Source organism: Homo sapiens, chromosome 6, assembly GCF_000001405.40.
Source record: "Homo sapiens chromosome 6, GRCh38.p14 Primary Assembly".
Classification (NCBI taxonomy): Eukaryota; Metazoa; Chordata; class Mammalia; order Primates; family Hominidae; genus Homo; species Homo sapiens.
In genome coordinates this window covers 25,956,957-25,981,890 of record NC_000006.12, presented here as the reverse complement: position 1 = coordinate 25,981,890, position 24,934 = coordinate 25,956,957, and the positions used below count along the sequence as shown (strand labels likewise).

Genomic DNA, 24,934 nt, shown 5'->3' with positions numbered 1-24,934 from the left:
TATGGTTACCATCCTGTCCAAAGTTCTTCTCCCATGCAGGACTTCCAGGAATCATGAGACAGTTGAGCAGAAAGATACCTTTTCCCTTCTCTACTGAATAACCACCAACATTGAGAATCAGAGAGGGAAAATGACTCAGCTAATGTCTTAGCTTGTTATTGGAAGACCCAGGTCTCATGACACATGCCTAGTCCCATGACTTTTAATTGTAAGCTCTTCTCTTTCCCCTCAGATAATGTTCCATAAGCATTAGTATGAGATAATAATACACTGAGGACCAATATACATGAAAAATATCAGACTAGAATCAAACAAGACAGAAAAAAGATCTGATAACCTAAAGTGAGATACTGAACAGTATGCAGTTTTAAAAATAAAAAATGGTAATAGGATGTTCTAACAAGAGAGTTAAGAAACCACTGTGCTACTGAGTTAAATGTTGATCAGTTGGTCTGTGACAATTAAGGAATTCAAGTATTCAGAAACACTTCCTGTGCTGGATGCTCTCTGTTTGTTCTTCCAAATAATCCCTCACTTTTCCCTGTCTTGCTCTGTGCCCAGGAAGGCTGACATGGACAGATTAACCAGGCTTTCCGCCCTCTGGCTTGGTTCAGCCAATGGGAAGCACCAGAGGAGACCATAGGGCACAAAGAAGCAGCCTTGGGAGTATTCAGTACCCCAGTCCCACGCTATGATTTGGAGGGTCTGCATTCCTCTGCCTCTGGGCACACTCTAGTATAGTTACAGCTCCCTACACCTGCCACTTGAGGCCCAGAGGAGGTGATGGCTCTCTAACTGTTCCTAGTTCTGGGTGCTTCCTGTTCCTTGTGGATTTCCCAACTCCTCACCTTTGTAAATACCCTCCTTTTTCAAACTCTATTCAGTTAGCTTTTATCAGCCTGACTCACAGAAGTTTGGGGTTTCAATTCATATTACCTGAATGACCCAGGAAAACCCATGTTGAGAAATTAAAATGTTTACGGGGTGGTAATACCACTTAAGAGAAAAAATATCAATTGGATTTTTAAAATTCCACCTATCTATTGGTGTGACACATCAACAAAAACATATAGAAAGATTGGAAGCTAAAAGATAGATAATATAGTCATATACTGTTATAGTATTATATCAAAAGATATTAAGTCAGAGCATTATTAAGAATGGAAGAAGGGCCAGGTGTGGTGGCTCATGCCTGTAATCCCAGCACTTTGGGAGGCCAAGGCAGGCGGATCACTTGAAGCCAGGAGTTCAAGACCAGCCTGCCCAACATGGCAAAACCCTGGCTCTACCAAAAATACAACAATTAGCTGGGCATTGTGGCACATGCCTGTAATCCCAGCTACTTGGGAGGCTGAAGCACAAGAATCACTTGAACCGGGGAGGCAGAGGTTGCAGTGAGCTGAGATTTCGCCACTACACTACAGCCTGGGTGACAGAGAGAGATTCTGTCTCAAAAAAAAAAAAAAAGAAAGAATGAAAGGAGTCACCTAAAAAAGATAACACAATTTTAAACATAAATGTACTACATTATTAGTGAATTCATGTTTAGAATTGTGTTAATATACAAAGCAAAAATTGTAGAATTATAGGAGAAATGGACAAATCTACAATCATCATGGGATGTTTTAACATTCTTCTTTCCATAATTGATAGATCAGGCAGACCAAAAGAAAGAAATAAGGGAAGATACGGAAGGTCTGAACAATCTAAGAAGCGCAATCTCATAGTCAATACATAAAGCTCAGCAATTGTTTAATAATAGTAAGCAGAGAATATGCAGTTTTCTCAGGTATAGATGGAACATGCACTAACTGAGTAAATACTAGGCAGAAAACAGTCTGAACAAGTTTCAATAAATCTGTATTACACAGATCATTTTCTCTAGCCTCAATATAAGATTATAAACCAATAATAAAAAGATGACTAAAAAGATTCTAAATATTAGGAAATGTAAACTACTAATAAGTCATTAGAAGATGTATAGAATGGAACAATAATAAAAAGTTATTTATAAAAATATACAATGAAGCTAAAGCAGAATTTTAAGGAAAATTTGTAGGCTTTAAATGCTTATCTTAGAAAAATTAAAAAGCTGAACATTAATGAGCCAAGCATCTAATTTAAATTTTAAAAAGAACATAGAAAGCCAAATATAATTTTTTAAAAAGAAAAAATAGATATTAAACAATATAACAGTGAAGTTAAAGAAAACAAGAATGCAATAAAGAGGAAAAACAAACAAAAAAAAAGGTAGCTTCTTTTAAAAGAAATTTAATAAAATAGACATACCTCCAATGAGATTTATCAAAGTAAGACAGAAGGCACAAATGGAATGAATACAGAAACTTTTTAAATATTACAGAACTTTATAATAAATCTTATGCTACTAATAAAATTGAAAGTACTGATAAAATTATTACTTCCTAGAAAAAATATTTCTGAGTAAAACTCACTCAAAAAACAAATAAAGCATGGGCAGACCTAACATTAAAGAAATGAAATCACTACTTTAAATTTTACCGACAGATAATAAAACGTGCATCTTTATCAAGCAAAAATGGAACTTGTCAGTTTTATAGGAAATTTAGAAGTCAAGGCATGAGTAATGCCAATCTCATACCAAATCCTACAAAGAATAGAAAATTATGGCTCCCGCTTATAGACATAGATATAGAACTCCTGCACAAAATAATATAAATAACAAACCAAATTTTATATTTGCAACTATACATATTATATGTGTATGTATTATATATGTTAACATATACATATATAATATGTATAGCATATGTTCTACATATTATATATGTATAGTGTATGTATTTTACAATATATAAATGAAAACCCAATCTTTAATATATTCATCTAGATTGTCATATATGACATATATAATACATTACATCAAAAATGTGTACAATAATCAGGCCAGGCACAGTGACTCATGCCTGTAATCCCAGCACGTTGGGAGGCTGAGGCGGGTCAATCACTTGAGTCCAAGAGTTTGAGACCAGCCTGGTCAATATGGCCAAATTCCATCTCTACAAAAAATATGAAAAATTATCCAGGCATTGTGGTGCACACCAATAGTCCCAGCTACTCGGGAAGCTGAGGTGAGAGGATCACTTGAGCCTGGGAGGTGGAGATTGCAGTGAGTCGAGATTGCGCCAGTGCACTCCAGCCTGGGTGGCAAAGGGAGACCCTGTCTCAAAAAAAAATTAAAAAATTAGCCAGGTATGGTGGCCTGTTCCTGTAGTCCCAGCAACTGGGGAGGCTGAGGTGAGAAGATCACTTTAGCTCAGGTGGTGGAGCCATGATCGCACCACTGTACCACTCGGCTTGGGCAACAGAGTGAGAGCCTGTCTCGAAAAAACAAATATATACACACAGTAATCAATATATATATTATATGTACCAATCAATGCTTCACTTTTATATATAATATAGATTACATCTTATTAGATATATAGTATTCCTTCTCCATAGATAGATAGATACAGATATAGACATAGTATCCTCTATCCATATTAGAGAGAGGATACTATATATATCTATAGCATATAGAGATGCTGTCTCAAAAAAATTTAAACATCAGCCAGATGTGGTGGCCCATGCCTGTAGTCCCAGCTACTGGGGAGGCTGAAATGAGAGGATTGCCATTGATCCTCTCATTGGTTGAGCCATAATCGCACTACTGCACCACTCAGCCTGGGAGACAGAGGGAGACCTGAGGTGGAAGGATATAGATATAGATATATAAATAAATATGTATAGAGAGAATATAATATATGTGTGTATGTGTATATATATATATTATGAAGACACTGGGAGAGAATACTATATATATATGTGTGTGTGTATATATATATTATGAAGACACTGGTGGGATGGTTTCATTACCAATTGGACCAAGAGTCCAGGTATGGAGCCAACATGCAATGTTGTTGTTGACTGAGCTGGCAGAGCACTGGTCATAGTTACGGGAAAAGAAGGTCTCCAATGAGACATACTTAACAAAATATATGAACTTGCCATATACGTGGAGAGTTCTGGTGTGTATATAGCCTTCTCTCACCAACCTAGCAATTGTCTTCATCATCATTATAATGCTATCAGAGCAAAGATGACAGCTAAATTTTTTTGTCCCTTTCTTCTTCTTTCTCTTCCTTCCCCTCCCCCACCTCTTTCTCTTCCTCCTCCTCCTTCATCTCTCTTCTTTTTTTTTTTGAGATGGAGTCTTACTCTGTCGCTCAAGCTGGAGTGCAGTGGCACAATCTCAGCTCACTGCAACCTCTGCCTTCTGGGTTCAAGCAATTCTGCCTAAGCCTCCAGAGTAGCTAGGACTGCAAGTGCACACCACCACACCTGGCTAATTTTTGTATTTTTAGTAGAGATAGGGTTTCACAATGCTGGCCAGGCTGGTCTCAAACTCCTGCCCTCAAGTGATCCTCCTGCCTCGGCCTCCCAATGTGCTGGGATTACAGGCGTAAGCCACTGTACCCGGCCTCCTCCTTTAATAGACAGGGTCTAGCTCTGTTGCCCAGGCTGGGTACAGTGGCGTGATCATAGCTTACTGCAGCCTCGAACTCCTGGGCTCAGGAGATCCTCCTGCCCTAGTCTCCCCAGTAGCTGGAACTACAGGCATAGCACACGGGGCTAATAAAATTAATTAGGTGATAAAATTCACTGCCCACTGATGACTAAGCTCTTTGGACATAAAAGACACAGACCTTGAAGGAAAATGTGTCTACTTAATTTTGAAACCCTATTTATCAAAAAACAGGATGAAAATGCAAAATGCCATCCACATGCCAGAAGATATCAGCTATAATAAGTTCCCATAAATCAATAAGGAAAAGAACCCAATAAAAATTATTAAACCACAGTAAATCATGGGTAAATCACAGAGGCCTGAAGGGCTAATGGACATACAAAAAGAATCTCAATCTCACTAGTGAAATCAGAAAAGCACAAATTAAGTACACAATTAGGTACCATTTTAAATCTGTAAGACTGTCAAAATCATAAATTATATAAGTAAAGACTCAGGGAGTTTTGGAGGAGTGAGAGCTCTTATATTGCTTGTGGGGTAGAATTGGAACAATTTCAAGATCTGTAGTATCTGGTAAAATTATGATATGCATCCCTCACACCAGCATGTCACTCCAAGGTATCTCCCTGGAGGGAACATTTACGGGACACAAGGAAGCATGGATAAGAATGTTCACAGTAGTATTGTCTGCAACAGCAACAACAACAAAAAAACCCAACTACACACAACTTCAATGCCCAGTCCACAAGGCAATGGATTAAATAAACTTCAGGCCGGAGATGGTGGTTCATGCCTGTAATCCCAACACTTTAGAAGGCCGAGGCGAGAGGACTGCTTGAGCCCAGGAGTTCAAGACCAGCCTGAACAAAATAAAGAGATAGTGTTTCTACAAAAAATTTTTAAAAAATTAGCCAGACGTGGCAGTGCTTGCCTGTGGTCCCAGCTACTGGGGAAGCTGACGTGGGAGGATTGCTTAAGCCCAGGAATTTAAGGCTGCAGGGAGCCATGATGGGGCCATTGCACTCCAGCCTGGGTGACAGAGTGAGACCCTGTCTAAAAGAGATAAGTAAATAACAACTTTGCATTTTCTGCCACATTGCAAAATGGTGAGAGAGTGGTTTCTAGACTCTAGACTCTTTCTATGACTACCTTCTAGTTATGAGATCCTACAACACTCACCTAACCTCTCTGTGTCATATTTCCTCCTCTATAAAGCAAAAATGCCCCATATAGAGAGGACTGTGATATAAAACAAGAACCAAGAAAAGTAAAGCTTTTCTAATCTGTCACAGACTAAAGAGTGCTCAGTATATGTGAGTCATTATTCCTGGTGCTGGTAGGAGTGTATGTTACAACTTTGAGTCAAGTAATATGGTACCATATATTAAGATTAACAACAACCTCGGCAATCCCAGTTTGGGGTATGTTCCCAAAAGAAATGAAAGCACCAGGATATAAGGATGCATGGACTAGAAAGTTATTGTAGCAACATTGTAATAACTAAGTTCTAAAAACAGCCTGAAGCTCCATCAGTAGGGATATGGTTACATATATTTATTATATTCTTATGGAATATTAGACATAAAAAGTAACGAGTAACATAGAAGAGACAGTGTATATATGTTACGTTTGTACAAACTTAGGGAAAGATATAGATCACCCTACCTAGAGAAGTCAGATTGGAGACGGGTGGGAAAAACCTTGAACTTTCTCCTTATATCCTTTATATTGTTTGACTGATTAAAATGTATTTGTTGCATCTGCTTGAAGGCAATGTAAAATAAAATAAACATACATTTAAAAATAAAAATAAAATTTATTCCTATCACTTTTGTAATAAAGCTGGGCACAGTGACTAACACTTGTAATCCTAGCACTTTGGGAGGCAGAGACAGGCAGATCACCTGAGGTCAGGGGTTTGAGACCAGCCTGGCCAACATTGTGAAACCCCATCTCTACTAAAAATACAAAAATCAGCCAGGCATAGTGGTGCGTACCTGTAATCCCACGCTACCCGGGAGGCTGAGGCGCTGGAACCCAGGAGGCAGAGGCTGCAGTGAGCTGAGATTGCGGCACTGCAAGCCAGCCTGGGTAACAGCGAGACTCCATCTCAAAAAAAAATTTGAAAAAAGAAAAATTTTAATAAACAGTGTTTAAGAGGGGAGAAATATTTAGTTAAAAGATAAGCCCATTTAAGAAATAGTTTCACTTGACCCGGAAGGCGGAGCTTGCAGTGAGCCGAGATCGCACCACTGCACTCCAGCCTGGGCGACAGAGCGAGACTCTGTCTCAAAAAAAAAAAAAAAGAAAGAAAGAAAGAAAGAAATAGTTTCACTTGAACCATATTATGATTCCTTCTGTAAAAGATGAGAGTAGGCAAATTGACTCAGTGAAATCCCAGCAAAACTTACACAAAGTCTTGTTCTTCCTTCCTGTCATCTGTATAGGATGAAATACAGAGTGCTTTTGGGTTTTGTTGTTGTTTGTTGTTGTGTATTTGAGGGGAACACAGGTCTATAATTCCTTTTCTGAAATCCCTGGAACAAAATGGGCTTTGCCATTCAAATTAGTTTAGAAGTTATAAAGGCAAAAAAATGCATATACTCTAAAGTTCAACCCCATCATGGCCTAAGGCAGAGCCCTGTAATCAAATTCATCAATATATCTGCAGCAAAACATTTATTCAAATTAAGTGGGATAAATAAAGACTTTTAAATAGTCTCATCTCAGTGCCGTTCAGGGTTGGCCACTGTGGAAGACAGACTCAAGGGTGGCCTTCTATGATTCCTGCCTCTTGGTGTTCACACCCTCGTAAAATTCCTTGTCTTTGAGTGTGAGCAGGGCTTATGAATTGCTTCTGACCAATAGGATATGGCAAAGATGATGGGATATAATTTCTATGATTACGTTTCATTATGTAAGACTCCATCTTGCTGGCAGATTTTCTCTAAAGAGTCTGTCTCCTGAGCTCTCTCTGAAGAAATAACTGGCCATGTTAGAAGCCCATGTGCAAAGAGCTGAGGGGTGGCCTGTAGAAGCTGTGGGCAACCTCCAGCCAACAGCCAGAAATAACCAGGGCCAAAGTCCTGCAACCATCAGGAAAGAAATTCTGCCTGCTACCTCAGTGAGCTTGGAAGTGGATTCTTCCTTAGCCTAGCCTCCAGATAAGAACACAGCCTGACCAACACCTTAACTGCAGCCTTATCAGACCCTAAGCAGCAGGCCCAACTAAGCTGTGCCCAGATTCCTGAACCACAAAAATTGAGATAACATATCAGTGTTGTATTAAGGTTCTAAATTATGGTAATTTGTTTGTACTAATAGATAACTAATATAACCACCAAATCATTTCAGGTTAGGCCAGATTTTTGTAGCCAAATGAATCATGATAAAACTTTCCATTTTCAGGGGTTTTTTTGATTTTGTACTTACGGATACAAATTTGTGAAAGTATAGTCAGCACTGATTTAAAAAATCAAGGGAGCAGGAAACTCAGTAAATGGTTCTAACATTTTGGAATCTGTAAATTGGTTGTAACATTTGTCATCTGTGTTATCTAAGTCAAGTTCCTAAAATATGTGAATGATAGGTTATCATACTCACCTACTTTTCTTGCATTGCTCTAAGAGTTGGCTGAGCTATTGATAATAAACACTATGATCAGATCTAATACCATGATGTGCTATTATGATCATGTGTCAGTCACAGGGCTAAGCACTTTGTACATGTTGATGCATTTAATTTTGATGATAACTCAATGAAGTAGGAGCTGTTAATATTTTCATTTTTCAGAGGGGGAAACCAAGTCACTTGGAGTAACATGGCTAATAAGTGAAAGAATAAGAATTTGAAAGGTTTGCACAGATAACCAGAATGCAATGCTCATCACATTCACTGAGCAGTGAATCATACTAACTAGAGAAAGTATGAAAGCTCTACTGAAATTAACTAAACAACCTCTCTGGCTGTGAGCCTGCCAAGGGACAGGTGGTAAACTTGGTTACTGCATAAGGCCCCTTCTATCCACAGTATTCAGGAATTCTTTAGTGAACATACCTTGATGACTCCTTAACATTTTCTTCACATCGAAGTAAAGCTTGGAAACATTGCACATAGTATGAAGTTCCAAGGAGACAGCCTCTGATGTTTCCAGCTTCACAGCCCAACTCCTAGAATAAGCAGAGGCGAGAGATTTCTTCAGAGGTGCATTCCATTCATTTCTATATACGCACACCCCTCCCCTCCTGCATTCAAACAGGACTTACCTGCTCAAAGTGTCATTCACATTCTATAAAGAAACAAAAAGAAAAGGTGAGCATGGGAACATCGGTATTTCATGGGGCTTGTCATGCAGGGCTATTCTTCTTTGCTTTACCCGAAGAAGTAAAGAGAGTTACCCTAGTCTTAGTCTTAGATATTGATGGATACTCAAACAAAGTAATTCCCACCAGTCTTAGGTATTGATGGATACCCAGATGGAATAATTCCTACCAGCTTCTGGGAGATTCAGCATGGCAGGATGTTTATCAACATTTGCATCTATTCTCATCCTTGCTGAAGTCTGAGGGCCAGGAGCTTTGTCCATGCTCCCTCTGTAAGGACTAGCTTTTGGTGATCGGATTTCCTTCACAGTGAGCCCAGATTAGAGAACACTTATCATAAAGGTCCTTAGTGGTGAATCTGTGCACAGCCCTGAGACTGGGCCACTGCCACTAAGATGGTGGTAGCAGGTATCACACAGTGGTAAAGCAATCATGCTATACACTCAGCCTTACAGTATAGTCACCAATCCTGTTAGTTAGAACCAGAATTAATGGCTCCAGATGTTTATCTTCCTACAGATAAAGCTGTAGATTGTACCATAACAGCTCTGGAGCAAGGGTTCTACAAGCAAATCAGGGAAAAGGTTATCACTCATTTTGGCTGCCCCACTTCATCACCCATCAGTCACCTAGTGGAGTATTTCAGGAGAGAGTCAACAACCAGGGTTCTCTGCACATGGGCCAAGGAGGCAAACAGTGGTAAATGTTATCCCGTGGTTTCATTTGGCCAAGCTGTGTTCCCTCAGAAGTTTATTTTTCTAATTGACATAAAGGTACCCTATAAATTAGTGAAGGCCAGCCTGATGGCACTGATGTACATCTAAAAGAAACATTACTTTATCTTCCCATGCTTCCTTACCATTCTCCTTTAATAGCACTATAACATACCTTTTTTCCCTACTCCAAGTACACAGCCTCACCTGCAGCAATTTCTGGGCTGAGCCCTGACATTTTTCCTCCAGTTCCAGGATGTGGCTCTTGAGTTCATTGCTCTTCAGCCCCAGACCAGCCTCATAGTCCCTCAGTCTACTCAGAGTCTGTTGTTCTTCTTTCTCCAGCCTCCAGAGATAAGACTTCTCTTCCTCATGTAGGAAACACTGGAGATTCTTAAAGTCAGACCGGATTTTTTGTCTCTGAATCTGTACCTTCTCCTGGAGTCAAGAAAGTATGGTCAAAAGGTGGAAGTAAACCAAATGTCCATCTATGGATGAATGGATAAACAAGAATGAAAGTCTGACACACGCTACTACATGACAAGCCTTGAAGACATTCAAGCAAAATAAGCCAGAAACAAAAGGGCAAATATTGTAAGACTTTGCTTATACAAGGCATCTGGAGTAGTTAAGTTCATAGAGACAGAAAGTAAAATAGTGGTTACAAGGTGTTGGCAAGACCAGAAAATGGACAGTTATTGTTTAATGGGTAGTGAGTTTCAGTTTAGAAGATGAAAGATGAAACTGAGTTGCAGTTTGGAGATGGGAATGGTGATGGTTGCACAACAATGTAACAATGTAAAAGCACTTAATTCTACTGAACTATATACTTAAAAGTGGTTAAATGCTTAAGTGTTATATATATTTTCACACAAACACACACACACACACAATCAGCCACTGGGACATTATTTTCTCATGAGTCACTGAAGCTGGAAGAATGTCCCCAGTTTCCTGCTGCAGAGTCATGTGTGGGAGGCAGGCACTCAGATGTGGAAGAGGTTGCCTCAGATTCCTTATAGTCACCCAATTAATTTTCTTGTTCTTCAGCCAAGACACAGGAGAAAGCTGGGTTAGGAGTGCTAGATAATTTAATTGTGAAACTAGGGCCAAGTTCAAACACTTTATCAGTTACAAGGATAAAAAGAGGTTTTTACTTATGATTTAAGAAGTTAGATTTCTGAGTTGGAGCGATTTTCTTGAAGTAAAAGCTTATAATGAACATCACCCAGACTGGATTTTAAGACAACCAGGCTGGTAAGAGGGTCCATAATTCTTGGCAGGGGGAGCTTTGAGTGTGACAGGCATTTATTATGGTTAACTGAGAAATACTGTTCTACTACCCTAGGGTCATCTTAAGCATTCCTATGTGTAAGACTGACAGAAATCAAGTGAAACTCTCATCTGAGGAGATGTAAAGTTGCAATTTCCATTAGTGCTGTCTAAATTAATGCAGTGGGAGTGTGTATTCAGGGCAATTTGAATCTATGTTCTTGGATTGCAGTCTTCAAACTTGGCCCAAATAAACTCTCTACTTATCTTAAAAAAATAAAAATTAAAAAATAAAAATAAATTCATACAGTGTTTTGATGACTATGATATAGAAGAAGGGTCTTTGACTTAGGATGAGGTGGAATTTTTGTGTAGGAGACAGGTGCAGCTTTAACTCTTGTATAGACGGGTTTTCATATATGTTAGTTACAATCAAGGTCTTCCCCATTGCCCAAGATCCTAGAAATGGGGGAAGTAAGAGTGTACTCAGGAGCTCAAGAGCAACATCCACAAACAAAGATCAGGGTAGAGGTTAGAGAGGACTCCTGAAAGAGAGAAAATTGGTAATCAGCTTGTGGGATTTTACTGCAAGCTAGTGAATTATATAAATATAAAGATTGGTGCAAAAGTAATTGTGGTTTTTGCCTTTACTTTAATGGCAAAGACCGCAATTACTTTTGCACAAACCTAAATATTTCCATAAAAGAATGTGGCTCTGATAATGTGGAGGTTAGTCAGCCACGGAAATAATCTGAAAGTTTGTAGTTGCAAGTGTGTAGGTTGTTGCATTACTTGTGATGTACTTATAAATCAAGTATAGGCCGGGTGCAGTGGCTCACGCCTGTAATCCCAGCACTTTGGGAGGCTGAGGTGGGTGAATCACGAGGTCAGGAGATCAAGACCATCCTGGCCAACATGGTGAAACCCCGTCTCTACTAAAATACAAAAAATTAGCCAGGCATGGTAGCACATGCCTGTAATCCCAGCTACTCAAGAGGCTGAGGCAGGGGAATTGCTTGAACCCGGGAGGTGGACATTGCAGTGAGCTGAGATCGCACCACTACACTCCAGCAAGACTCCATCTCAAAAAATAGTAATAATTTAAAAATAAATAAATAAATAAAGTATATTTCTTTCATCAGCTTCATGAGCTAGAGTAGTATGAATTTCAATCTGGAGTGATCCTGTTTTCTAAGTGTTCACAAAGCTTGGTTTCTGTACCTGTAAAGTTGAGAGCCAGATGCTCCACTGTGGTAAAAGTGCCAGGGTAATGAGTTGAGGCCTGCAAACCAGGTTTATTTTGACGTATTTAAAGTTTGAGACCCACTCGATGCTTTTTCTAGGTAAATAGTCATACTAATTCTGCTTCTTCTGACTGAAGTATCAGGAATCCCAGCCAACTACAGTTTAAAGATGGAAAGATTGGTGCTAAATACTCATGGATGTAAACCTGGAACCAGGGGCATAAGTACAAATAATGGTTTCTTCCTTGGGTTTCATTTTTTCAATCTGGTTTAGTGAGAATAAATCCTCATTGTGCTTTTCCTCAATCATCCCCTATGCCTAAGCTCTAGAATGGAAAATAGCTTGAGATCAATGAAGTCAGATTCTTACTTTCCATTTAGTTATTCGCATTGCTGTGGACAGCTTCTGCTCCGTACATCTGTCTTCAAGTTGCTTCAGTTTTGTCACAGCTTTCTGGAGCTTTTCCTGAAGGAAAAATTTGATAAGTGAAGCCTATTCAATTTGACTCTTCATTAGGGACCTAGGGGGAATCCCAATCTTCTAAGATATATTTGAATAATAGTGAATATTTATAGAGTCCTCATTGTTTTTTGCTAGAGAGCATGCTAAAGGCTATATGTGCAGGAACATACTGATCCCCTTGGCAACCCTGAATAGTTGGTAGGATTTTAAACTTCATTTCTGTGCTGTAGAAAATGAGACTAAGAAAGGGGTAAAATAACTTGCCCAAAGGGCTATGACTGCCAGGTGGTGGAGCAACAATTGCAATCTCATCTGCTGACCCAGAGCCTGAGCTATGTCCACCACTAGAGTCCTGCCAGGAAAAAGTTGGATATAGAACAAGGTAATCATCATCTAAAAGATTTTGTAAAACAACATGCTGAACCAAGCAAAACCAATACCAGTGTTTGGCACACATGAAATTTTGTGTCTTATGAGTCAGGAAAAATCAGGATGCCAGCTGGTTATTAGAAACAGTTCATGGAAGAGGGGAATTCTGGTATCTTTTGAACAATGGTATCATGAATCCAATTTAAAATGATTTAGTATTCATGTCAAGCTTTTAGCTTATTCTTCAAAACAGTTTCTCATATTTCTATTGAAAGTGATTTGAAGCTGACCCAAATTGCTAATTGTAGTCAATGCTGAAAGAATTGTCTCCTGTCCTCTGTAAACCCAACAAGTATACTCATTCATTCTCGAGTGTTCTCAGGAAAAGGTTCTATGTAACTGTTTTAGCAAAAGATGACATTGTCCTTACTATATGCCAAGTGCTATTCTATGCATTCTATATTTTAATGTCCTCAAAGCTTATAACCACCTCCTGTGTATGTGTTTTAGGGAGGGAGGACACTGCTATTATCCCCATTTACAGATGGAGAAACCAAGGTGTGAAGACATTAAGTAACGTGCCCAAAATTGCCCATCTAGTAAGTGACAAAACTCAATTTCAACATAAGCTGGTTCCTTTTCTTACTACTTGGTGGAAAAGTAATTCAAATGGGAATATGATCATCGCAGTTATTAGCTGCTCCATGGAGTTTAAGGAAGAGCTGCCATGAGCTGAGTGGTGGTCATGATTGACATGTCCTTAGAAGGACTTAGAGCCTTCATACAAGACCACCTCTGCCTCATGGAGGACAGAATAAGGAGCCTGACACTGGAGACAACATTTTCCTCAAATTTAGGCAGGACAGAGAAGGAAAAAGGACATCAGGACTATGCCCATTCCTCCATGCTGCCAACAGCAAAGTCCCACCTTCCTTAATATGCTTTCTGGCAAGAAATCTGGATGGTACACAAAACCTCTCCCTCTGCTTCACCTTCCACAACCAAGCATTTCCAAATCTTTGACTCTTCTTCCTGAATCGTGCTTAAAATCTGCCCTCTCCTCCCTTTCTTATACGGATAGTTTGAATTTTACTCCTTGATATTCCTTTTATCATAGACATGCCACAGTAGCTGGGCACAGTGGTTCATGCCTCTAATCCCAGCATTTTGGGAGGCTGAGATGGGAGGGAGACCAGGGGTTTGAGGCCAGTATAAGCAAGAAAGGCAGACCATGTCTCTACAAAAAATAAAAAAATTATCCAGGTATGGTGGGGCATCCCTGTAGTCCTAGCTACTTGGGAGGCTGAGGTGGGAGGATTGCTTGAGCCCCAGAAGGTTGAGGCTGCAGTGAGCCGAGATTGCACCATTGTACTCCAACCTGGGATACAGAGCAAGACCCTACCTCAGGAAAAAAAAAAAAAAAAAAAAAAAAAAGTAGAGGTACCAGAGTGATATTTTCAATGTCACTGACCCTTCATTCCCCAAATGAAAATCCCCCAATAGGTGTTCAATTTTTACGTGTCCTTCAGGAGTTACTTCTAAGATGAACCACTCTCTACCCTAAATGTCCCTCCCCACCACCAAAACCAGGGACCTCCAGGCAGACATTTTTGATGGTTTGTTTTCTTTACTAGACTGTAGATACCTAAAAGGTGATGGGTCTTTCTTCCCTGTTTTCAGGCCCTACTGCATGGCTTTACATATTGTGGTTTTTCAAATGATATTCATGGTGTGAAACAAGAAAAAATGCGGGTGTTTGGTTTGAGAACAACCTGTTCTAAAGCAAAAAGAAATTCATCATAACACAAATGGATAGAGATAAGAGTCCAACCATCCCATTGAAGGTCAGGATGGACAGTCTAGATAATTGAGCAAGAAATCATCATAAACTATTTTTCAGAAGAATGACATGATGAAAGCTGTATTTCCAAGTCATAATGTTAGGTTTCAAGTTAAATCATCTCAGCTCCTGGGGAGCAGGATAAGACTTGGTACTTACCAAAGCTCCCGGGCCCACACACTCACCTTGTAGCCCTGGCATACGTCTTCAACAAGAGCTGTGGTGTGCCCTTTGTGCTGTGGTGCCCGCTCACAGCGCCAGCAGATGAGCTGCCCCTCGTCTTCGCAGAACAGGTGGAACTGCTCTCCGTGTTCCTCACATGACATTTCTTGATCCGTCTCTTTGAGGGCTTCAATGAGGCTTCCCAGCTGCTTGTTGGGTCGGAGGCTATCCATATGAAATGGAGCCCGACACTGGGGACAGCAGAATGTCTCCTGCCTCAGTTGCTTTTGGCTTGGGTTTTTAAAGAAGTCTGTTATACACAAGTGGCAGTAGCTGTGTCCACAGTTGATGCTTACTGGGTTCGTCATCAGGCTCAGGCAGATGGAGCAGGTGGCTTCCTCCATCATCTTCTTGGTGCTGGTGGTTGAGGCCATAGCTTTTATTGAAAAGCTCCAATATTGGCTCTAGAGATGGAGATGAAGCAGCCAGAATTTTCCACCGTGATGAAAATACACCTCACCTGCACCTCTATGTGATGAGCTGGCTGCAACTGACTTCCATAGGTCTTGAAGGTTTTCCTTCCAACCCCTATTATCTCATTTTGTATTGAAGAAAAGAGGACCTAAAAGGAAGAAGTTGAGGCTGAGGTTGTTTGGGCCACGTTTGAGAACTGCAACCCAAGTGCAGAGTTTCAAGTTGCCCTCATTAGCAAGCAGTTACAAGTGGTTGTTTAGAGGAAAAAAAGCAGTTTTAAAGCAGTTTTAAAGTTGTTTGCCAAGAATTTACATTAAAATAGCATAAGCTTTTGACTGGCTATACATTGTTCTTTGTATTACAAATCTCGGGAATATGTAGGTAATAGATGAGGCAGCCAGTCAGGAACAAAATGCTTTTAAACATGGGGTCTTAACTGAAGACCTATACTCCTGCCTCACTTGTCCTGATAAATTTTGCATACCTCACATAGCTCAGACTGCTCTAAATTATTTCATTATTTTTCTTTTCTCAGTCTTCTAACTTTTTTTTTTTTTTTTAATGAGACGGAGTCTCACTCTGTCACCCAGGCTGGAGTGCAGTGACGCTATCTCGGCTCACTGCACCTCCGCCTCCCGGGTTCAAGCGATTCTCCTGCCTCAGCCTCCCGAGTAGTAGCTGGGTCTACAGGTGTGCACCACTACGCCCAGCTAATTTTTGTATTTTTAGTAGAGATGGGGTTTCACCATGTTGGTTGGCTCGATCTCTTGACCTTGTGATCCACCCGCCTCAGCCTCCCAAAGTGCCAGGATTACAGGCATGAGCCACCGTGCCCAGCCTCTTTTTCTTTTCTTATAAGACAAGTTCTCGCTCTCTTGCCCAGGCTGTAGTGGAGGGCAGTGGCATGACCACAGCTCACTGCAGCCTCGACCTCCTGGGTTTAAGCAATCCTCCTGCCTCACCCTGGCAGAGTGGCTGGGACTACAGGTATGTGCCACCATGTCCAGCTAAAGTCTTCTCTCCAGAAAGAAGAAATGCATTGGAATTTAGAGGATACACAAACATCTAGCTGTATAGCTAATACAGTAGCCACTATCATGAGTAGGAATTTAAATTTAACTTAATAAAAATTAAAATGAAAAAATTCAGTTTTTCTGTTCCAGTTGCCACATTTTGATTGCTTAATAGTTGCATGTGACTAGTGGCTACATAACAGCCTCAATATACAACATTCTGTTATCACAGAAAGTTACCTTGGACCAAGTGCTGGGAGAAGCAATGCAGGCTTCCTCACAAAAGCTGTAAAAGAGAGAACTCAGGGAGTGTGAAACTCTTTCCTATTCTAGTTAACTTCAAGAATAATTGTTACCAGGCCAGCACGGTGGCTCACGCCTGTAATCCTAGCACTTTGGGAAGCCGAGGCGGGCAGATCACCTGAGGTCAGGAGTTTGAGACCAGCCTGACCAACATGGCAAAACCTCATCTCTACTAAAAATACAAAAAGTTAGCTAGATGTGGTGGTGCACACCTGTAATCCCAGCTGCTCAGGAGGCTGAGGAAGGAGAATGACTTGAGCTCCGGAGGGGGAGGTTGCAGTGAGCCCAGATTACACCACTGCACTCCAGCCTGGGTGAAAGAGCGAGAATCTGTCTTAAAAAAAAAAAAAAGAATAATTGGTACCAGAATTACTCTTTGTAATTAGTAGTAACACTTATGCAATTGGGTGATCTGTGACAGATTCCATTGAAGGAGTATGGGGAGCTTCACCCCAATATATGACTCCCTGGTATAATGAGTATTTTGAATTAAAGGCCCTTAGAGATCAGCAGATGCTGGAAGAGACTTTTCCCCTATCTACATAAAGACCAGTCACACTAGACAAGAAGAACAATTGTTTTTCCTTCCAACCCCTATTATCTCATTTTGTACTGAAGAAAAGAGGACTAAGAATGTAACCAGACCTAATCAGACACTTTCACAAAATAATGTCTGTCTCTCAGGCTCATTCATTTTCCAAAGAGAACCATTTACAAGTTAAACTCTGTTCCTCCATTCATTCATCCTCCCAAATATTCATTTATTCTCCCTAGTAATCATTTACTGCCCCTCAAAGAATTACCTATATTCTCCTGATATCACCCTTCCCCTCTGAAATAAATATGTATACATGTATAAACGTTATACATACATATTTATACAGTATACATACATATTTATACATACATACATATGCATACATATTTATATTTATGTATTTATACATAAGTATTTATAAATAAGGCTATATAAGTATCTACCCCCATTGGCAGAGGGGGTAATCACTCTGTGATTCTAGCCCATGTACTTGTTAATAAATTTGTATGCCTTTTCTCCAATTAGCCTGCCTTTTGTGAGTCGATTTTTCAGTGAACTTCAGAAGGCAAAGGGGAAGTGTTCCCTTGGCTCCTACACCATCATGACAATAAAATTTGACTCCACCTCGACCCCCCCCATCCCCCACAAAGAACAACAACCAACACTGGTTAATAAGGTCGGTTGTTTTTTGTTTGTGTTTTTGTTGTTGTTGTTTTTGCTTTCAGGAGCAGAGGTATAATAGGCAAAAGAAAGAGAAAGGAGAATAGTGAATACCTCTTCTGCAGAGAGGGGTGCCTAAGTGGGACTTCCCTGGCTAATAACGTCTTGCTAGAGACCCAACCAGGAGGATAATGGAAGCAATCAAGGCAACCAGAACAACCAGAAGAACCGGTTTATCCTTTTTGTGCCCTCTCCCTAAACTGAGGGAATAAGAATTGGAAAGAAGGCTGCAGAGCAGAGGGTTTGCTCCTGAGGAGCAGTTATTTCTATGGGATCAGAGCTCCTGCAGAACTGGGGAGTTTACTTTTACTATCTCTTCTCCAGGACAGGACCTATCTCAAGAGACATGTTCAGAGTGATTGCAACATAAAGAGTTTGCAGACCCAAGGAGGTAGGGAAGGCAGAAAGAAGATGGGGGAGGCCAGGGATAGGCAACAGAGGAGTGACCAGGAGCGAAAAAGCCTGCCTCTTCTGAGAACCTAGCTGGGCTCTCCCTGTACCCCCGATCCCTCCCCCCCGCCCGCCCCCACACCCCTACTCCTGGGAGCTCCTCTAGGACAGGGGCAGAGTCAGGAGGAAGTTTGAAGAGTGCCTAGAATAAAAAACAGTAATTTAACTACAATTACCGGGTAGGCTGTTTTCCTCTCACAATTTGATCAGTCTCTTGAAGCCACACAGAATTTCTTCTGAAGACGTGTATTCCTTGGCAGGCTATTTCCTCCAGTGATACACCAGGCCCCTCTCTGCTGGGGTCACTGCTCTTCTGGGGAGATGGGGCTCCCCTCCTTCCAAGGCTCCAGGGTTCCTGTCCTGGGCCCCACTCATCTAAGTTCTGAATCTTCTGAGATTTGGTGTAAAGTCTGGTGAAAGAAAGAGCAGGAAAGAGGTGAGAGCTGTAAAACAAAGAAAGTCCTGACCATTTTCAGAGTTGGAGGGGCCCTGCTGTCACGAAATATATTCCCCACCCCACTTGCCATCAGTACACACTCACATATCCACTGAGAAAACCTTAGCCTGGACCTTTTCCGTAACCTTCACTGCTCAGACACTTACATATTCGCTGCTAGTCCCCTCTGTTGCTGCCACTTCCTGGGTCAGGAAGTTAACTCAGACCGGATTAAACTGAGAAGTGAAACTACTGTGGGAGGCGGGGCTCATAAGATTTAGGAGAAAACTAGTGACGTTGTTCATATCATTTGCACTCCGCCTCTCCGGTAAAGGAGGGGGAAACGTAGGAAGAAAATATCCTTCTTTTACAGCAATAAAAAGAAGGAACCAATTAATAACCCTGTAAACTATCATGTGACCCCAACACAGAGTATCTAAAAACAGGAAGCCTGCAGAGGTTCAGTTCACAGACTCTGATTTGAGATCTTTCTACTTTTGCCACCAACTCCCTTGGGAGTCCTTAAGCCTTCCTAGCTGATGTTACTTCTTTTGCTATTTATGGGTTGCTTGTGGTTCTATAACTGCTCTGAAGGGTGTGGTGGAAAAAGGGGTGGTAACAGCAGTAGGACTCATTGGCATCACAAAATTCATCTGAGTCAGCTTTCTATTCTTCTCTGTCCCGTTCTGTGTCTTGTTTTTCTCCTTGCTGTCCTTCTGCAGGACTCAGATCTTCTTCAATAGCGAGGGTCAGCCAGGATAGAAAATGGGAGTCACTAGTGGCCCAGCAGTGAGTGCCCCCAGCTTAGAGCTGTGTGGGATCCCTGGGACCATCACTCTGCTTTGTGCTTTGTGGAGAAAAGGCTGTGGGGTCCAGGGTCAAGTCCTTAATGACTTAGCTCCAGCTTCTCCACTTCAAAATGAAAGGAAAAGTACTATCACCACCCGTTAGAATTATTATTTCATGGGGAAAAAAGATGGATTACTATCTCACAATAAGAGCTTGTCACATTTATAAGTCTCAGGTGTAAGAGGCATTTATGATAACAACATAATAAATGCTGGCTTAAGTAGATGCAGTGGTCCAAGGGAACCAGTAAGGGGAGCTCAGGACACAGGTGGGAGGAGAAATTAAACTTGAATTCTGGGAGCCACTGGCCTGTCTGGGCCCCTGGCCTGCCTGCTGACCCTGATAGCCAATGGAACATGGAGTTTGGCCCAGCTGCAATCCCTCTGGTCCAACTACTCAAAATAAAGGCAAGATTGGGAAACACGTTCCTTTCTTCCTATACCAAGCAGAAGACTCTTCAGCACTGCACCCTCCTGGGTGCTCACAGAGCCTTCTGTTGTTTTGCCACCTACGATTCATCATGCCCTGGCATGATGGTTGCAGACCCCATGCATAGCATGGGACATTCTACTCCTGAGGCAACCAGCACACAGAGAGAGGAGAAAGAATGAGCCCCTGAATCCTTGGTCCCACGATGAGTCCTTGCAGATATCTACAACTTTCATTGTTGTGGATGTGACTCTGTACCCAGGCATGGCTCATTCCAGATCTGTCCTATTGTCAGAGGTGTTCAAACCAGAATGACTCCATTTTGAATGGGGGCTAGGTAAAATAAGGCTGAGACCTACTGGGCTGCATTCCCAGGAAGTTAGGCATTGTAAGTCACAGGATGAAATAGGCAGTTGGCACAAGACACAGGTCATAAAGATCTTGCTGATAAAACAGGTTGCAGTAAAGAAGCTGACCAAAACCCACCAAAATCAAGATGGCAACAAGAGTGGCCTCTAGTCATTCTCATTGCTCATTATACACGAATTATAATGTGTTAGCAAGTTAGAAGGCATTCCCACCAGCTCCATAGTGGTTTATAAATACCATGGCGATGTCAGGAAGCTACCCTATATAGTCTAAAAAGGGGAGGAACGCTTGGTTCTGGGAATTGCCCACATCTTTCCCAGAAAACATATGAATAATCCACTCCTTGTTTAGTACATAATCAAGAAATAACTGTAAGTATCTGTATTAGTCCATTTTCACACTGCTGATCCAGACATACCTGAGACTGAGTAATTTATACCAGGAAAAAATGTTTCATGCTCTTACAGTCCCACGTGTCTGGGGAGACCTCACAACCACAGCAGAAGGCAAGGAGGAGCAAGTCAGGTCTTACATGGATGGCAGCAGGCAAAGAGCTTGTGCAGGGAAATTCCTTTCTATAAAACCATCAGGTCTCATGAAACTTATTGACTATCATGAGAACAGCAGTATAAATTACTCAGGGAAAGACCTGCCCCCATGATTCAATTACCTCCCACCAGGTCCCTCCCACAATATGTGGGAATTTAAGATGAGAGTTAGGTGGGGACACAGCCAAACCATATCAGTATCCTTAGTCCAGAAGCTGATGCTCTGCCTGTAGAGTAGCCGTTCTTTTATTCCTTTACTTTCTTGCTTTCACTTTACTGTGTAGACTTGCCCCAAATTCTTTCTCACACGAGATCTAAGAACCTTCTCTTAGGGTCTGGGTTGGGACCCCCTTTCTGGTAACACTATCAAAGGATCAGGAAAAGGAAGCTAGTGAATGCTAAAAAGGAAACAAACTACCATTACCAATAATAACAGCAAGACAAAAGCAAAACGGATTGTGACAGCTGTCCCATCTCACACCTGTTTCCCATTGCAGGAAGGAGGGGCTGGTTCATGCACAGAGTGGCCAATATTAGAAGCAGAGATGGGGTGCAGATGAGACTTCAGGAATATGTTGACAAAGGCAGGCCTAGGGAGAAATCAACCTGAACTATCCCCAAGGAGGAATGCATTATCTCTAATATGTAAAGTTAGGCTTGATCCTGTGATTATGGGATATAGGAGTCCAAAGACTCACAATGGGAAGTAGGTCACTAGAGTCTCCTTCAGAAGCTCTGTACTGTGTGTTCCCACTGTGGGCAAGAGTCAGCACTCAGCTATTCCTAGAATGCCTTTCCTCAACTCCTTCAGATTTTGCCTCTCAACTAACCCTATCCTGACCACTTGTTAGCAAGTGTACCCCTCTCTCCCTCCCAAACATTTTCAAATCTATTTTGTTCCCATGGCACTTATCACTGAATATTTTACTAATTTATTTTGTTTAGTGTTTGCTTCCCTCATGAGAATGCAAAGGGATGGATTTTTTTCAATATTGTTCACTGATGAATCCCAGTAACTAGAATATTTCTAAGCATAGTGATGTGCATTAAATCAAAGAGTAACTTTCTGAATTGCACTAAACACACATCACAAGAGGTGTGTGCACATATGTGCATGATGCACGTAGTGTGGTGTGGGTGTTGTGTGGGGTATGTGGTACTGTGTGTGCTGTGTGTGGTATGTGATACATAGTTTGTGTTAGTGTGATGCATGTGATGTGGTATGTGTGTGCGTGTCCATACATATTAGGGGTGGCGGGGATGTTAATATGTCAAATGGTACTAGAAAGTATCAGAACTCATGGTGCTTACTGGTTTCCCAGAGAGCTGCTTCTCTCCCACCTGTAGGATATACTGATGGTTTGGACAGAGAAGAAATAAAAAGAAGGCTGTGACCTACTGGGCTGAGGAAATAAAAACGAAAGTAAAAGAAGAGCTGGGAAAAGAGAGTGGAGGGGCCAAGGGAAATTTCCCCTTTGGCTTCTGGGGAAACTTTGCTGAAAAATCAACTCACAAATTTATTAACATGTACACAGGGAGAACCATAGAATGATTATCCACTTCCCAAGAGGGCTTAAAAGCTTATATATTATCCTGGCAAAACAGATTATGGGAGGGGAAGAAGAGAAACTCTGTTGATGGGATTACTGTTGCGGATTTTTGCTCCTTCGCTCAGCTAGGTCCGGGTTTTTGTCTCACAGCCAGGAAGAATTAGGCATGCAGCCATCAAAGAATGAGTGGAGTAGAATTTATTAAGTGAAAGGAAAGCTCTCAGCAAAGACAAGGGTCCTGAAAGCAGATTTCTGGTTTGCTCTTCACAGTTGAATACTAGGGCTTAAGACTCAAATTCCTGACAACTCCACCCTGTCCTACCAGTGCATGCAGGCCTTTAGACTGAGCTACTCCATATTGATTAATTTCCTGAACTGTGCATGTGTTAAGGAAAGGAATCATCCACTGCAGGCATGTTTAGGCAAGCCCCCTGTGCAAGTTCCCTTATCTGCACAAAACATCCGGTGTAAGCACTTGTGGGGCAGGTCAGAGGTTCTCTGGGTACCATTCCCTTACTGTCTGCCTAAAGCAAGCTGGCCAACTCCTTTCATTACTAGGGAGAGTAAGTAGATCAGGGAACAGAGATTAACTTGAACATTATCTTGTGAAAGTCCGTTCGGGCATGGTTACATTCTTGGTCTTACAGGAAGGGTAAATAAAAATAATTGCTCTTTTTGGTGGGTCTGGATCTTAGGTAGATAAAGAAACTTTAATTCCACGATGTGTTTTGGTAGGGATAGTTGGTGGCAGGGATGTCAGAGAGACTTTGAGGCTTCTTCAGTTCAATATGACCAAGGGCCATATATTAGGGTATCAATTTCTGAGCCCCAACAAGAGCTTAGGAGAGATGTGATAGCATCACAGTGTGAAAGCAATTTTTTGTTTGTTTTTAGAGACAGGCTCTTGCACTGTCACCCTGGCTGAAGTACAATGGTACGATCACAGCTCACTGTAATCTTGAACTGGGTTCAAATGATCCTCCCATCTAAGCATTTCAAAGTGTTGGGATTACAGGCATGAGCCACGGTACCCAGCCTGAAACTGCACCCACTTTCTGATAAACTTTTCAAATGACTAAAGGGGAGAGAGTAAGCACTACTCAGAGGTAGGAAGAAAGGACACAGGATTATAGGATTAAAACAACAACCACCAAAAAAAACCAGACCGGTGTGGTGGCTCACACCTGTAATCACAGCACTTGGGGAGGCTGAGGTGGGGGGAGTCACTGGAGGCCAGGAGTTCGAGACGAGCCTGGCCAACATAGCAAGATGCTGTCTCTATTAAAAAAAAAAAATACCTGCCTTGAGCTAATCAGAATCATGGACCCTGACAAAGGATGTCCCAAAGTAAGTCTTAGCATTTTTTTTTTTTTTTTGAGACAGTCTCGCTGTGTTGCCCAGGCTGAAGTTCAGTGGCGTGATCTCGGCTCACTGCAACAGCTGCCTCCCAGGCTCAAGCAATTCTCCCTGCCTTCAGCCTCCCAAGTAGCTGGGATTACAGATGCCCACCACCACGCCTGGCTAATTTTTGTTTTTTTTAATAGAGATGGGGTTTTGCCATGTTAACCAGGCAGGTCTTGAACTCCTGACCTCAAGTGATCTGCCCACCTTGGCCCCTCCATAGTGCTGGGATTACAGGCGTGAGTCACTGCACCCGGCAAAGTCTTAGCATTCTTTACAAACAGTTTGTACCCGTATCTCTAAAAGGGAGTAGTGAATTTCACCCCAAAATGTGGCTTCCTGATATAATGAGTATTTTGAATGAAAAACTCTTAGAGATCAACAGACACTAAAGAGACTTTTCCCTAGGTACATAAAAATAGGATGGCCCCACCAGCGAGAACAATTGTTCTTTTCTCCCTCTCTGTTATCTCATTGTGCATTATAGGAAAGACCAAGAATGTAACCACACCTGAACAGACCCTTTTATAAGATAATCAGTCTCTAAGCATCATTTAAATTCCAAGGAGAACTATTTACAAATTTATCTGTTCTTTGATCCAATTAGTCTCTCCTGGTAGTTACATATTGCCCCTCAACAGAATTCCTCTTCTTCTGTTTCCCATAACCTATTTTGCAAGGATCAAGCCCCTGTTATTTCTTCAACTTCAAGGTGGCATATAAGCTTCTAAATTCCACTGGGATATTGGTACTATGTGCATGAGGAGAACCACAGAGTAATTAAATTGTAAAGCCTTTTATCTTATGAATCTGCCTTTTTTTGTGTTCATTTTTCAGCAAAACTTCCAAGGGCAAAGGTATAAAACAAAAATAAAATTCTAAAGCCCCCCAACCATCTGAATAGACTTTCTCTTCAGTCA

At 41.3% G+C, this 24,934-nt stretch overlaps 1 protein-coding gene across 2 annotated transcripts in view, besides 2 other annotated features; it reads right to left on the bottom strand.

Annotated features, from left to right (window-relative positions):
- Positions 1-19,089, bottom strand: part of TRIM38 (tripartite motif containing 38) — a 28,430-nt gene extending 9,341 nt beyond the window's left edge. Inside the window, exons 1-9 of one of the 2 annotated variants that reach the window (XM_047418080.1) lie at positions 19,036-19,089; positions 18,609-18,842; positions 14,958-15,556; positions 12,471-12,566; positions 9,792-10,022; positions 8,815-8,837; positions 8,606-8,718; positions 6,961-7,101; positions 3,796-6,312 (exon numbers count right to left, since the gene is read on the bottom strand). In XM_047418080.1, coding sequence (XP_047274036.1) covers positions 7,064-7,101; positions 8,606-8,718; positions 8,815-8,837; positions 9,792-10,022; positions 12,471-12,566; positions 14,958-15,368 — 912 coding nt within the window. In that variant the 5' untranslated portion in view covers positions 15,369-15,556; positions 18,609-18,842; positions 19,036-19,089 and the 3' untranslated portion in view covers positions 3,796-6,312; positions 6,961-7,063. Of the gene's footprint in view, positions 1-3,795; positions 6,313-6,960; positions 7,102-8,605; positions 8,719-8,814; positions 8,838-9,791; positions 10,023-12,470; positions 12,567-14,957; positions 15,557-18,608; positions 18,843-19,035 lie in introns of those variants that run through there. The other variant, NM_006355.5, reaches the window with a different exon arrangement.
- Positions 9,673-10,872: an enhancer, noted in NCBI's record as "MED14-independent group 3 enhancer chr6:25971247-25972446 (GRCh37/hg19 assembly coordinates)". NCBI's record gives its function as "activates an origin of replication core promoter dependent on BRD2, BRD4, P300/CBP and CDK7 cofactors, and independent of MED14, by STARR-seq in HCT116 cells {active_cell/tissue: HCT116}" and the evidence as "EXISTENCE:reporter gene assay evidence [ECO:0000049][PMID:35650434]".
- Positions 22,917-23,221: a transcriptional cis regulatory region, noted in NCBI's record as "candidate enhancer chr6.1077 targeted for multiplex CRISPR interference". NCBI's record gives its function as "positively regulates expression of the H1-3 and H1-4 genes with high confidence and the H4C3 gene with lower confidence in K562 cells {active_cell/tissue: K562}" and the evidence as "EXISTENCE:mutant phenotype evidence [ECO:0000015][PMID:30612741]".